Raw genomic sequence first — 12,768 nt, forward strand, 5'->3', positions numbered from 1 at the left:
CCCGGCCTTGTTGTCTTTGAGAGACAGGGTGTTGCTCTGTTGCCCCGGCTGGAGTGTAGTGCTGTGATCATGGCTCACTGCAGCCTTGAACTCTTGGGCTCAAGTGACCCGCCTATCTCAGCCTCCCAAGTAACTGGGACTACAGGTGTACATCACCTCACCTAGCTATTTTTTTGTGGAGATGGGGTCTTGCTATATTGACTGGGCTAGTCTCAAACCGCCTCAAGTGATCCTCTTGCTTTGACCTCCCAAAGTGTTGGGATACTAGGCATGAGCCTCAGTGCCCGGCCTCATCTGGCTTTTGGCTGCTGCGATTAATGCTGTTGTGAATGCTGATGTACAGGAATGTGGACAGATGCTGGACACCTGTTTACAGGTCTTGTGGGTGTGTGCCCAGAAGTGGAAGCCTGGGTCATATTCCATGCCATCTTGTCGCTTGTGCATGCCGGCCCTCTGGACCTCCTGTGGGCAGGGTCTGGGTCATTTTGAAGTGGTGTATTGGGCAGCTAACCTGGCACCCTCTGTCTCAGATGGGCAGCAGGTGGCTGGGAGCAGGGGCAATGGCCACTGCCATCTCCTCAGTCAAGTGCCCAAACGGTCTGTTTTTCAGATCCCATAGAGAGTTTCTTCCTGAGCTGGACTCTTTCTTTTGGTCAAACAAAACGTTCTTTGGGACCAAAGAGAATGCTTTCTACCCTGGAAAATTAGGGGGAGCACTGAGGAACTCTTATCCTGATGACCTCTCAGCCAGGAGAAAATCTCATAGTGAACCTATGATTCAGAGATTCACATGTAAAAGGAACCTTCATAATATGGACCCCATTGGTTCAAAGTTTGAGTTTGAATTGAAAGCCAGGCTTACACTGATGCCCAACCTGTTTATACAATTAGTGTTGCCCAGCCTGGGCAATGTAGCAAGACCCTGTTTCTTTAAAAACATTTTAAAAAATTAGGGCCGGGTGCGGTGGCTCATGCCTGTAATCCCAGCACTTTGGGAGGCCGAGGCTAGTGGATCACCTAAGATCGGGAGTTCGAGACCAGCCTGACCAACATGGAGAAACCCCGTCTCAACTAAAAATACAAAAATTAGCCAGGCATGGTGGTGCATGCCTGTAATCCCAGCTACTCGGAAGACTGAGGTAGGGGAACTGCTTGAACCCGGGAGGTGGAGGTTGTGGTGGGCTGAGATTGCACCATTGCACCCCAGCCCGGGCAACAAGAGGAAAACTCCGTCTAAAAAACAAACAAACAAAAAAACCAGAACAGAAAAAAAAAAAAATTAGCTAGGCACAGCAGTGTACACTTGTATTCCCAGCTACAGGGAGGTTGAGGCAGAAGGATCACTTGAGCCCAGGAGTTCAAGACCGGCCTGGGCAACAGAGCGAGACTTTGTCTCTACTAAAAAATAAATAAATAAATAAAAAATTAAAAAACTGAAGAATTAGCCTAGCATGGTGGCACATGCCTGTAGTCCCAGCTACTGAGGCGGCTGAAGTGGGAGGATTGCTTGAGTCCAGGAATTCAAGGCTACAGTGAACTATGATTGCACCACTGCACTCTAGCCTGGGTGACAGAGTGAGATTGTCTCAAAATAGCAGCAGTAGCAACAACAACAAAAACTAGTGTTTCCAACCATACTTATGGCACAGTGTAAAGGAAATTGCAGAGGGGCTGTACTATGGTTTGAATGTGTTCCCCAAAAAGCATATGTTGGAAACTGAATCCTCAGTGCAACAGTGTTGGGAGGTGGGGTCTGAGAGGCAGTTGGGCCGTGACAGCAGAGTGAATGGCTTAATGTCATGATCAAGGGAGTGGGTTTGTTACACAAGGAGTTTGGCCCGTTTTGTGCTCTCTCTCGCCCTCTAGCCTTCCACCATGGGATGACACAGCAAGAAGGCCCTTGCCAGATGCCAGCACTTTCATATGGAACTTCCCAGACCCCAGGACCATGAGAAATAAATTTCTATTGTTTATAGATTACTCAGCCTTGGGTATTCTGTTATAGCCGCACAAAACAAATTAAGACAGGCTGTTTAATCAATTTCAGAGAATGCAGATCTTTAAATATTTTAGCAGGGCTGTATAAACAGGAGGAATATTTGTTTATTCATACACTTATTTCTTAAGAAACATCAGTCACCCCACAGTGGGCTAAGCACTAATGCAGGACTATTTACTCAGCACAACTTACATGTAAAATGAATTTCCTTGTGAAATTCTCCTTAAAACACCACCCCTTCACTAGCTCCCATTGGAATACTGTGCCAGCTTCCCAAATATCAACTAGGAGAGCCCCAGGCCTGTTCCACGTCAGGCATCTCAGACTTTATAATCACCTGGGTATATTGCTAAAATGCGGGTTTGAAATCACCAGGTTTGGGTGGGGGCCCAACAATCTGCCTTTCCACAAAGCTCCCAGGGGTCAGTGACACCGCTGGTCCACGGACCACACTAGGAACAGTGAGGCTAGACATTACCTGAAACGTAACTTGTGCCAGGAAAATGAGTTTGTCCCTCTCGAAGAGTCCCCGGGCCGTGTACATGTAGACGGAGTAGGTGATCTCGTCCGTCAGGTTGATCACCCGCTGCTTCACCTCGTTGGCAGGGGTGGTCCTCTGGATGGCTTTCTCAAACACCACGTTGAAGGCCTGGGGATCCGCCACCGAGAGCCATGGAGGCGTGCAGAGATGGAGCCCTTCACCACTCCCCGCCACCACTCCCTGCCACCTGTGGTGGCCTCCAGTTTGTTTTGTTTCTTTGAGACAGAGTCTTGCTCTGTCGCCCAGGCTGGAGTGCAGTGGCGTGATCTTGGCTCACTGCACCCTCTGCAGTGAGGGAGGTTGCAGTGTTCAAGCGATTCTCCTGCCTCAGCCTCCCAAGGCGCACACCACCACACCTGGCTAATTTTTTTTTATTTTTAGTACAGACAGGGTTTCACCATGTTGGTCAGGCTGGTCTTGAACTCCTGACCTCAGGTGATCCACCCGCCTCGGCCCCCCATAGTGCTGAGATGACAGGCATGAGCCACCATGCCAGGCCATCCAGTTTGTTTTGATTGGGTTGTGAGTGCCTGGAGGCACCAGGGGAAGAGCAGGGAGGAGGGAGCAGCTCATACCCTCTCCTGGGGAGAATGGGTGTAGGACTGATGGGGGCCCCTGGCTCCCCCTCTTCCAGCTCCATCTGCAGGCTGGACCAGGTCTGCCCTCTGAGGGTGGCCCTGGCACTGCCCGATGGCTGTGTGGGCAACAGGCCTGGCTGTGGAGCCCAGATGCAGCCCCACCTTGAGGGAGGCACCCAGCCCCAGCTGCAGGGCGCACCTTGAGGGAGAACTGGTAGACGGGGTTGATTTTGTTGAGATCGTTCAGTATGAAGTAGAGCAGAGATGCCCTCTCCGCAGCCGGGCGGTAGTTCTCTCTCGCTTCGTTGATTTTAACTTCTGTGATTTTTGCCTCCACCACCTCGACACAAACAAAAGGGGTGTGAATGACACAGCAGATGGGCAGTGCCATGAGCAGGTGGGCTCATTCCCAGCCACCAGCCTCGCTCCCTGGGAAGCCACCCAAGGGCTCTCAGCAGCAGCTGGGTGCAGGATGGGAGCCCAGACCCCTTCTCCTGCCCTGGGCCCACTCGGGCACGTATGACCGAAGCTGCTTTTCTCCTTTCTCATGGTAGGGAGGCGCCGATCGCCCGTGGCCCAGCCTCCCAAGCCCTGGCTGCCAGGGCACGTCACCGAGGCAGCTCTGACCTTCTCCTCGATCTCGCTGGCTGTGTGCTTGGTGGTCTCCAGATTCTCCACCAAGGCCGTGTCTCCCAGAAAGTTCCCCGACGCAGCCGACAGACGGGCCAGGAGCGAATCTTCCAGCTCTTTCAGAACAATCTTAAATTCGTTTTGAGACTTGGTGAGGTTTGCCTGCAAGGGGAGGTGCAGGAGTCACTGCATTGCCTGGCTCTGTCCACCGGGCACCCGGGCCTCCCTCAGGTGGCCATGTAGCTGAGCCAAGGCCCAGGCTTTGAGCGGGAGGAACGAGCTCAGGTCCTGGAAGGGGCTGCAGAAGCAGAGCCCCTGGAACCTCAGAGAGGCCCTGGCCCTGCTCCCAGCCTTGAGGCTTCCTGTCACGGAGACTGTAGGGGGCAGAACGGGGACAGGCGGGCCTGGGCCTCCTGAGCCCATGCAAGTGGCTATAACAGCCAGAAATGTGGCAGGTGCAAGGGCTGGCAGCCAGGCCATTCTTGCAGGGCAGCGCTTTGGAGCTTAGAGCCCCCGAGGACCGCTGTGACTCATGTTCTTTAAGCAAAGAGGTCATGTGACTTAGAATTAAATTTGGGAGCAGGAAGAGGGGACAGCTGGGGAAGGAAATGAGCCATCCTGTCGTATGAGAAGCTGTGATGCCGTGGGACACACTGAGGCACCTTCAGAGAGAAGCAACGACACACACTGGACTGGCAGCCCTGGTCGGGGACCCTCACAGTGACCTGGCCCCCTCTGTGTGGGACGGCACCTCCTCCCGTGTGACCAAACTTCAGGCCATTACCTTCAGCTGTTCCAGATCTGGGCGCTCTTTGGCCACCACAGCGGCCAAGAGTTGGTCCTCGAGTCCATCCCTGGTGACCAGGAAGTTGATGAGGGTGCACTGAGCCTGCATCTCTGGCTTGTAGTGTGGGTTGAAGTACTTGGTGTGTAGGATCAGGCGGAACTTGGGGTGGTACTCCACCTCCTTGTCACCGATCTTAATGTACCTGGCGGTTGGTGGAGGAAAGGGTTAGTGGGCCTCCCAGTGACCAGGGGAGAGGAACACAAGTACAGACCACCTTTCACCCCAGCCCCAGGCCAGGCCGCCACCTTGAACCCTCCCTTCTGGTCCCTGGAAGAGCACTGCACCTCTCCTTGTCTGTTCCTCCTCCCTGGCCTGTGACGTGGGCCCTTCTGGGAGATGCACCTGCTCTTTCCTTGGGTGATCAGGCTCATCTTTGCAGCAGGGTTTACACCCCTCTGGCGATACTCTGTCCTCCCCTGGGAGCCCTGACCGAAACCTTCTGCTTGGCCTCCACCCAGACTCATTTACAACATTCGTCCATTCTGGAAGCTCCCAGGACTGCAACCCTGGGTCTGCTCATCCACTGTGGGGGGCGCTTCTCTCCGGCTCTACACCCTGCTGTCCCCTCTTTGTAGCTGGGCTCACTTTGAGGGGCCTCTGGCTAGCTTCACCCCTCAGCACTCACACCAGGCCCCTCCCAGAGTCTAGGACCTCTGCATATTGATTTGCCACCTCCTGGGTTCTGGGTTTCTGCATGCATCTCTGCATTTAAAGGTGGCTCCTGTCAGCTCTGACATTTACATTTTTAAAGTAGATTTAATTTTTTAAAATTGTAAAATGAATAATGCAAGCTCCACGCATCAGCTGATGAGTGGACAAACACAATGCGCCCGGCCACACGTGGAAAATGATTCTGCCATCAAGAGGAATGAAGGACTGACACATGCGACCACGTGCATGACCCCAAAAAACATGCTAAGTAAAGGCCGGGCGCGGTGGCTCCCGCCTGTAATCCCAGCACTTGGGGAGGCCGAGGCAGGTGGATCACCTGAGGTCAGGAGTTCGAGATCATCCTGGCCAACATGGGGAAACCCCGTCTCTACTAAAAATACAAAAATTAGCTGGGCACGTTGGTGTGTTCCTGTAATCCCAGCTACTTGGGAGGCTGAGGCAGGAGAATCACTTGAACCCAGGAGGCAGAGGCTGCAGTGAGCAGAGATCGTACCACTGGACTCCAGCCTGGACGACAGAGCGAGACTCCATCTCAAAAAACAAACAAAAAATGCTGAGTAAAAAGAGCCAGACACAAAAAGACACATGTTGCTTGATTCTCTTCAGAGGAAATGTCCAGAATAGGCAAATCCACAGACACAGAGAGCAGAGTAGTGGATGTTAGGGCTCAGGAGGGAGGGGAATGAAGAAGAGTGGGTACAGGGCTTCCTTTCGGGGTGGTGAAAATGTGCAACTGGACAGATGTGTTTGTACAACATCGTGAGTGTACCAAATGCTCAATTGTGTATTTTAATGTGGTTAATTTTACGTTATGTGAATTTTTAAAGGTAATGCAGTCCCAAGATTTGCAAAATGCCTAAGAACAGAATGAAGACAGACATCACCTTCAAGCCTCCCCATCTGGAGGCCATCACTGATAAAATGTTGGCGGAGATATTCCTAATTGGGAAGTGGCCCCTCTTTCCAGTCTTTCCTCAGGAGCTGGGGGTTCCTTCCCACCAGCAGGCACTTTGTCAAAGCCCTTGCTGCTTACCAGGGAAGCAAAGGAAATTCCGGGCGTTTTCTCTACATGCACACGCCCAGGCCTCGGGCCTGAAGATGTTTACCTGGCTCAAGCCACGGAGGCGGAAACAACTCACTTTCCCTTTTTAATCGTGTTCCTGCCCAGTAGAGGGTCCAGCACGGGGTCCACGGTTTCGCCGATGTTCTCAATGAGCAAGGTGTCCCCTTCCGAGATGGCCTGCTCGATGACATCCAGGTAGCTGCGGGCACAACACGGAAGCTGGTTCATGGCAGAGGGCCTCGTGATGGAACGGTGCGCACGCTCCGACCAGCAGCCCCTGCCCTCTGAGCGAGACAGCGCCAAGCGAGGGGTGACCTAGGAGCCCACAACTTGTTCCCAACAGCTCGCCCTTTCCTGAAAGGAGCCGAGGGGCTTCTTTGTAAACTGCCCCCGTGCTCTTATGGGAGTGGAGATGAAAATGGAAACAGTTTTGCTTTTTGAGACAGGGTCTCATTCTCTGGCCCAGGCTGGAGTGCAGTGGCATGAGCAGGGTTCACTGCAACCTTGACCTCCCAGGCTCAAGTGATCCTCCCATCGCAGCCTCCTGAGTAGCTGGGACTACAGGCTCATGCCACCACACCCAACTAGGTTTTTTTTGTTTGTTTGTTTTTTGTTTTTTGTTGGAGAGACAAGGTCTCACTATGTTGCACAGGCTGGGCTCAAACTCCTGAGCTCAAGCGATCCTCCTTCCTCAGCCTCCCAGAGTGCTGAGATTACAGGTACGAGCCACCACACCCGGGCTGGAAGCAGCTTTGAGTAGCTTTATGGCCACAGAGACAAATGTTTTCATATCCACCCGCCATTGGATTTTCCAGCACCGCTAGGAAGCAGGGCATCACTGTACCTGTGTCGTTATAGCCATTGTTTCTCAACTGTGATGAGAATACAGACCACGAGACCCAGGAACATGACCAGCCTCAAACCTCCCAGCCAGCAAATGGCCAAGCGGGAGGCAACCCCAGGCCTGAGCCTCCGTCTCACTCTCCTTTCCCTGCAGGAGCAGCAGGTGATGGGGACAGGGGAAGGGAAAAGAGCTCCTCATTTCATTCTTTACTACTGCTGCTGTTCCCCAGGCCAGATTTAAAACCTGTGGGCTAGTACTTGTATTGAAAGACCCACCCATCCATTGAACCAATATGGAATGCCTAAGGCGTGCTTCCAAGCAGAGCCGGGCTTCGGCCCAGGTCCTGCGCCCGCACACACCTCTTCTGTCCCAGGCGGATGGCTTTCAGTTCACTCCTGTATTTGTTTTTGATCCACTTGATTCCTTGGAGCTGGGCGTCCACGATCAGCGGCCACCGCTCGGTGTTGCCCAGGATGGTGGCATTCTCGGTGGACATGCGGTCGCTGGGGAGGCCCTGGTTGTTCCAGGTGGCCACGTCCGCGTCATCTGTCAGCAGGCTCAAGGGATCCAGGCCATTCGTGATCGGGATGGGGACCTGCCCAGGGAGGCACACTTTCTTAGAGGGGGTAATGCGACCTTATTACTTACTAGAAAATAGCTCTCCAAATAATGCTCTGTCTGGTGCTGCGGTTAGGGGTGGACCAGCAGGACGACCTGGGAGAAGCCAGCCATTTCCATCACTCTGGACAGAGCAGCTTTGTAACTCGGCCAGAAACGATGTCAGCACAGCAACACCGGGCCACGTTTTTTTTTTCCCCTGACAGAGTCTCACTCTGTCACCCAGGCTGGAGTGCAGTGGTGTGATCTTGGCCCACCGTAACCTCTGTCTCTCGAGTTCAAGAGATTCTCCTGCCTTGGCCTTCTGGGTAGTTGGGATTACAGGTGCCCGCCACCATGCCCAGCTAATTTTCGTAGTTTTAGTAGAGACGAGGTTTCACCATGTTGGCCAGGTTGGTTTTGAACTCCTGACCTCAGGTGATCTGCCTGCCTCAGCCTCCCAAAGTGCTGGGATTACAGGCGTGAGCCACCATGCAATGCCACTGGGCCACATTCTCATCCCCAAAGGGGCCTGAGCCTCATCACGGAAGTCAAGGTGCCATGTGGCTGGTTCTGCCCTGCTGGGACCTCCCCACATTTCCCGAGTGATGAGTAGGACTCCATTTTTTTTTTTTTAAGATGGGGTCTCGCTGTGTCGTCCAGGTTGGAATGCAGTAGTGTGATCTCTGCTCACTGCAACCTCCGCCTCCAAGGTTCAAGTGATTCTCCTGCCTCAGCCTCCCCAGTAGCTGGGATTAAGGCGCCCCCCACCAAGCCTGGCTAATTTTTTTTTAAATTTAATAGAGATGGGGTTTCACCATGTTGGCCAGGCTGCTCATGAACTCCTGGCCTCAAGTAATCCGCCCGCCTCGGCCTCCCAAAGTGCTGGCATTACAGGCGTGAGCCACCGCGCCTGGCCAGGACTCCACTCCTTACCTTTAAGTTATGTATGTAAGGGATCCAGAATTTCTCCATCAGCTCATTCCGGTATTTCTTGGTGAAGTAGCCCACGTAGGACACGAAGGCAGAGATGAGCAGGACGTCCCCACACAGCGTGACCCCCTGGCTCCTGAAGTTCTCCACAGACTCAGCCCAGCGGATGTTTTCCGATGCTAATCCCCCGACCAGCCTAAAGTGGGATGAGAGAGAATAAAACATATTTGCACAAGTGAGGGGACTGGACCAGACAAGCCTCCACCTCTGCACCTCTGTGAATCTTCAGAGTTTCCCGTCTGCACCTGGCTCAGTGGCTCAATGATGAAAATGCTTTTGGGAGGAAATGCTTTAGAGAAGCCCGAATCATGCTTTGTGGCCGGGCGTGGTGGTCATGCCTGCAATCCCAGCACTTTGGGAGGCTGAGGCGGGTGGATCACTTGAGGTCAGGGGGTCGATACCAGCCTGGCCAATATGGTGAAACCCCGTCTCTACTAAAAATACAAAAATTAGCCAGGCGTGGTGGCCCATGCCTGTAATCCCAGCTATTCAAGAAGCCGAGGCGGGAGAATTGCTTGAACCCGGGAGGCGGAGGTTGCAGGGAGCCGAGATTGGGCCACTGCATTCCAGCCTGGGTAACAGAGCAAGACTTCATCTCAAAACAAAAACAAAAACAAAAAATAAAACAAACAAAAAACTCCTTGGCAGCCCTTAGGAATGCTGTGTTTCCTCTTCCCAAGTCACCCGCATTGACACCCAAGTTGCCCACATTGACACCCGGCTATGGCTGATGCCATTTGATTGCCTCTCTCCTGTGCTGAAGATGCTGCCAGATACCACAGAGCACTGTCTCGACCAGCTGGTGACAGAGCCCGGGTGAGGACCACGGTGGCCACAGAACAATGTGGCATCCAGAAGGCACCTGGCCCTGCATGGAATGGGGACTCCACGATGCGCCTCGTGCTTCTCGGGCCACCATCTTGAGGACTGGTCCCTAACCCTCAGAGGCACACCACGGGTCTGAAAGTGTTGGCATGTTTGTTGCAAGTCCAGGTTGCCTGTTAGAGCCACTGAGGGTCTGTCTGTGGCACCATCTGAGCAGCCCTTACTTCCCAGTGACCTAGAGACCATTTCGATTTGGCAGGTGAGGTTAAATCCCTCATACCCGGGGCACCACCCTGAAGACCAGCCTCATGCAGCCTGGGGCACTCACAGCTGACAACTGGCCCATCAGTGGCAGCCACCCACTTGGGAGGAGAAAACACAGCTTGCAGGCCTGGAACAGACTCAGCCCCAGGCTCTGCTGAGGCTCCGGGTGCTCCCCTGTGAGAACAGGAAAGGCACACTCCCCTGTTGTTCAGCAGGCAGCTGCCAGCCCTGGGGCTCCCAAACACTGGGACCACGGCAGGTCTGCTCTGAGATGTGCTCTGTGTTAAAAGGCATGAAGGGGCCGGGCGTGGTGGCTCACGCCTGTAATCCCAGCACTTTGGGAGGCCGAGGCAGGTGGATCACCTGAGGTCAGGAGTTCGAGACCACCCCGGCCAACATGGTGAAACCCTGTCTCTACTAAAAATACAAAAATTAGCCGGGTGTGGTGGCACGCATCTGTGGTCCCATCTACTTGGGAGACTGAGGCAGAAGAACTACTTGAACCCGGGAGATGGAGGTTGCAGTGAGCCAAGATCGTGCCACTGTACTGCAGCCTGGGTGACGGAGTGAGACTCCCCTGTCTCCAAAACAAAACAAAACAAAACAAAAAAACAAAAAAAGACATGCAGGGTGTCAGGGCTCAGGATGAAAACAAGCACAGGAAATACCTCATTGATAATTTTTATATTAGTTACGTGTTGAAATAATATTTTGGATATTTGGGGTTAAATAAAATTATAACTGTTTCTTTGTACTTAAAAAATTTTTTTGTAGAGATGGGGTGTCACTATGTTGCTCAGGCTGGTTTCAAACTCCCACCTCAGCCCTCCAAGTGCTGGGACTACAGGTGCGCACAGCCGTGCCTGGCTTTTTTTTTTTTTTTTTTTTTTTAGACAGTTTTACTCTTGTCACCCAGGCTGGAGTACAATGGCGCGATCTCGGCTCACTGCAACCTCCGCCTCCTGGGTTCAGGTGATTCTCCTCCCTCAGCCTCCCAAATAGCTGGGATAACAGGCGACTGCCACCACACCCAGCTAATTTTTGTATTTTTAGTAGAGACAGGGTTTTACCATGTTGGCCAGGCTGCTCTCGAACCCCTGTTCTCAGGTGATCCACCCACCTTGGCCTCCCAAAGTGCTGGGATTACAGGCGTGAGCCACTGCGCCCAGCTAGTCTGGCTAATTTTTGTATTTTTAGTAAGATGGGGTTTCGTCATATTGGCCAGGCTGGTCTCGAACTCCTGACCTCCAGTGATCCGCCTGCCTCGGCCTCCCAAACTGCTGGGATTACAGGCGTGAGCCACTGTGCCCAGCCAGCCTCTGTACTTTTTAAATGTGGCTGCTGGAAAAGTTAAGGTGACACATCCACATCTGGCACCTGGCATTATATCCCTAGTGGACGACGCTACTCTGGAGCCCCAAACCATGATGTAATCCGTGAAATGACTGTCCACTGGCTGCGAAAGGATCCTGGAAGCCACGTGGTGGCTGAAAGTGGGTTATGACCGAGTAATGCCCCGGATCAAGCCCCGTGGGACCCAGTGTCCCAGGCCAGTGTGGGTTACTTGGAACCACGCGACAGGGCATATTTTGTGGAGGCCACTGACTATGCAAGAGGCCAAGTTTTATCCTAATTACTTTGAGCTCAAGAAGTGAAAGTGGCAACCTGGCTGCTTCCACCTGGGCTCCCTCCTCTTCCTCCCAAGGCAGTTGTGTGGGCTTGTCCCTTTCAGGGGGTCTGAGAGCAGGAGGGTGGTCTCGGGGAGGAGCTGATACCTGTTCGCCAGTAAGATCACCCTGTTCGTGGCATCGGCCTCTTGCTGACACTTGATTTTCTCAGCTGTTGCTTTTTCAAACGCTGAGGTTAGGTTGCTCAGGTTGGCGTTAAGTTCCTGCAAAACCAAGTTGGAAAGCTGCTGGAAAACCCCACGAGGCATCTCTAGCCCCCTGCAGCGGCAGCAGGGCTGGGCCCTGTGAGCGCTGAGCGTGGAAGAGGCTCCCACAAAGGCTGAGAGCCCTCTGGAGCATGGAGGCTAAGGACACCAAGCGGCTCCCGGCACCATCTGGCCCCTGCCTCTGCCTGCATCCTCTTGCACTGCTGAATAATTCATGACGGCGGGCCGTGCCAACCCATTTTCAACAGAGGTATTGACTGGCAGCGCGAGCAAGCGGCTCTGGTGTTTCGCAGGGACGGGAGCGAGCCGGCACTTACGGCAATCTTGTTTTTGATCCGGGACAGCTTCTCTTGTGCCTCTGCCAGCTCTGCATTAGCCTCCTCCAGTGCCTGCCTCTTGGGCGCCACGTCGCAGTAGACCTCGTAGAAGCGGACGATGTTGATGCACCAGGAGCACAGGCCGGCGGCGGCCGTGGACTTGGAGCGGATGAACTCGGGGTCGAACGTCGGGTTGCCTTGGTAGGGCCTAGCGAGGGAACCAGAGGGCCGGAGTCGTCACCCTGTCCTGCTCTGGCAAAACGGGCCCAGAGAAGCTGAGTGTCTTGCCCAGGGTGGCACAGCTCTGGAGGGGCAGCGCTGGGATTCACACAGTCAGGCTGGCCCTAGAGGCCACCCCCCACCGGCTCTGCTCTCCCACTCCCATTACCCCACAGTGGCATTGCCCAGTTTTCCAAGTCGGGCACCAGGAGACTGAAACTATAAGGTTAGAGGGATGAGATGCAGACGAGATGACGTGGCAGGTGTTACATTTTGGGGACGGTATTCGTGTGTGCAATGCATGTGCTCGTGTGGTCAGCTGCTCTCACAGGTGCTGCTGACCTCTGTGGGGCCTGGCTGGCCTCTCTCTCAGACCTGTAGCCTGAAGGTTCCCGCTGCTGAGCTTGTCAGCTGTGTTCTTGGGGTGCTGTATGGGGAAGGGGCTGCCTAGATTTTGAGCCACAGGCCCCAAGAGCCTGAGGCCA

The 12,768-nt window shown here is 53.7% G+C and overlaps 1 protein-coding gene across 5 annotated transcripts in view, besides 2 other annotated features; it reads right to left on the reverse strand.

Moving 5' to 3' along the window:
* DNAH17 (dynein axonemal heavy chain 17) overlaps window positions 1–12,768 on the reverse strand; it is a 153,700-nt gene that overhangs the window by 23,240 nt on the left and 117,692 nt on the right. For 4 of the 5 annotated variants that reach the window (XM_024451013.2, NM_173628.4, XM_011525416.3 and 1 more), the window contains 9 exons: window positions 12,065–12,272; window positions 11,629–11,744; window positions 8,708–8,900; window positions 7,534–7,769; window positions 6,407–6,529; window positions 4,533–4,737; window positions 3,746–3,910; window positions 3,318–3,458; window positions 2,478–2,648 (listed from right to left, as the gene is read on the reverse strand). In XM_024451013.2, the coding sequence (XP_024306781.1) occupies window positions 2,478–2,648; window positions 3,318–3,458; window positions 3,746–3,910; window positions 4,533–4,737; window positions 6,407–6,529; window positions 7,534–7,769; window positions 8,708–8,900; window positions 11,629–11,744; window positions 12,065–12,272 (1,558 nt within the window). Of the gene's footprint in view, window positions 1–2,477; window positions 2,649–3,317; window positions 3,459–3,745; window positions 3,911–4,532; window positions 4,738–6,373; window positions 6,530–7,533; window positions 7,770–8,707; window positions 8,901–11,628; window positions 11,745–12,064; window positions 12,273–12,768 lie in introns of those variants that run through there. The other variant, XM_024451014.2, reaches the window with a different exon arrangement.
* Window positions 3,171–3,392: a silencer, noted in NCBI's record as "fragment chr17:76446189-76446410 (GRCh37/hg19 assembly coordinates)". NCBI's record gives its function as "represses an EF-1alpha promoter that drives an FKBP-Casp9 reporter gene in an ReSE screen in phorbol 12-myristate 13-acetate-treated (for megakaryocytic differentiation) K562 erythroleukemia cells {active_cell/tissue: K562(+PMA)}" and the evidence as "EXISTENCE:reporter gene assay evidence [ECO:0000049][PMID:32094911]".
* Window positions 3,522–4,100: an enhancer, noted in NCBI's record as "H3K4me1 hESC enhancer chr17:76446540-76447118 (GRCh37/hg19 assembly coordinates)". NCBI's record gives its function as "activates a minimal SCP1, AML or CMV promoter by ChIP-STARR-seq in primed H9 embryonic stem cells {active_cell/tissue: H9 hESC(primed)}" and the evidence as "EXISTENCE:reporter gene assay evidence [ECO:0000049][PMID:30033119]".

Source organism: Homo sapiens, chromosome 17 (genome assembly GCF_000001405.40).
Source record: "Homo sapiens chromosome 17, GRCh38.p14 Primary Assembly".
NCBI lineage: Eukaryota > Metazoa > Chordata > Mammalia > Primates > Hominidae > Homo > Homo sapiens.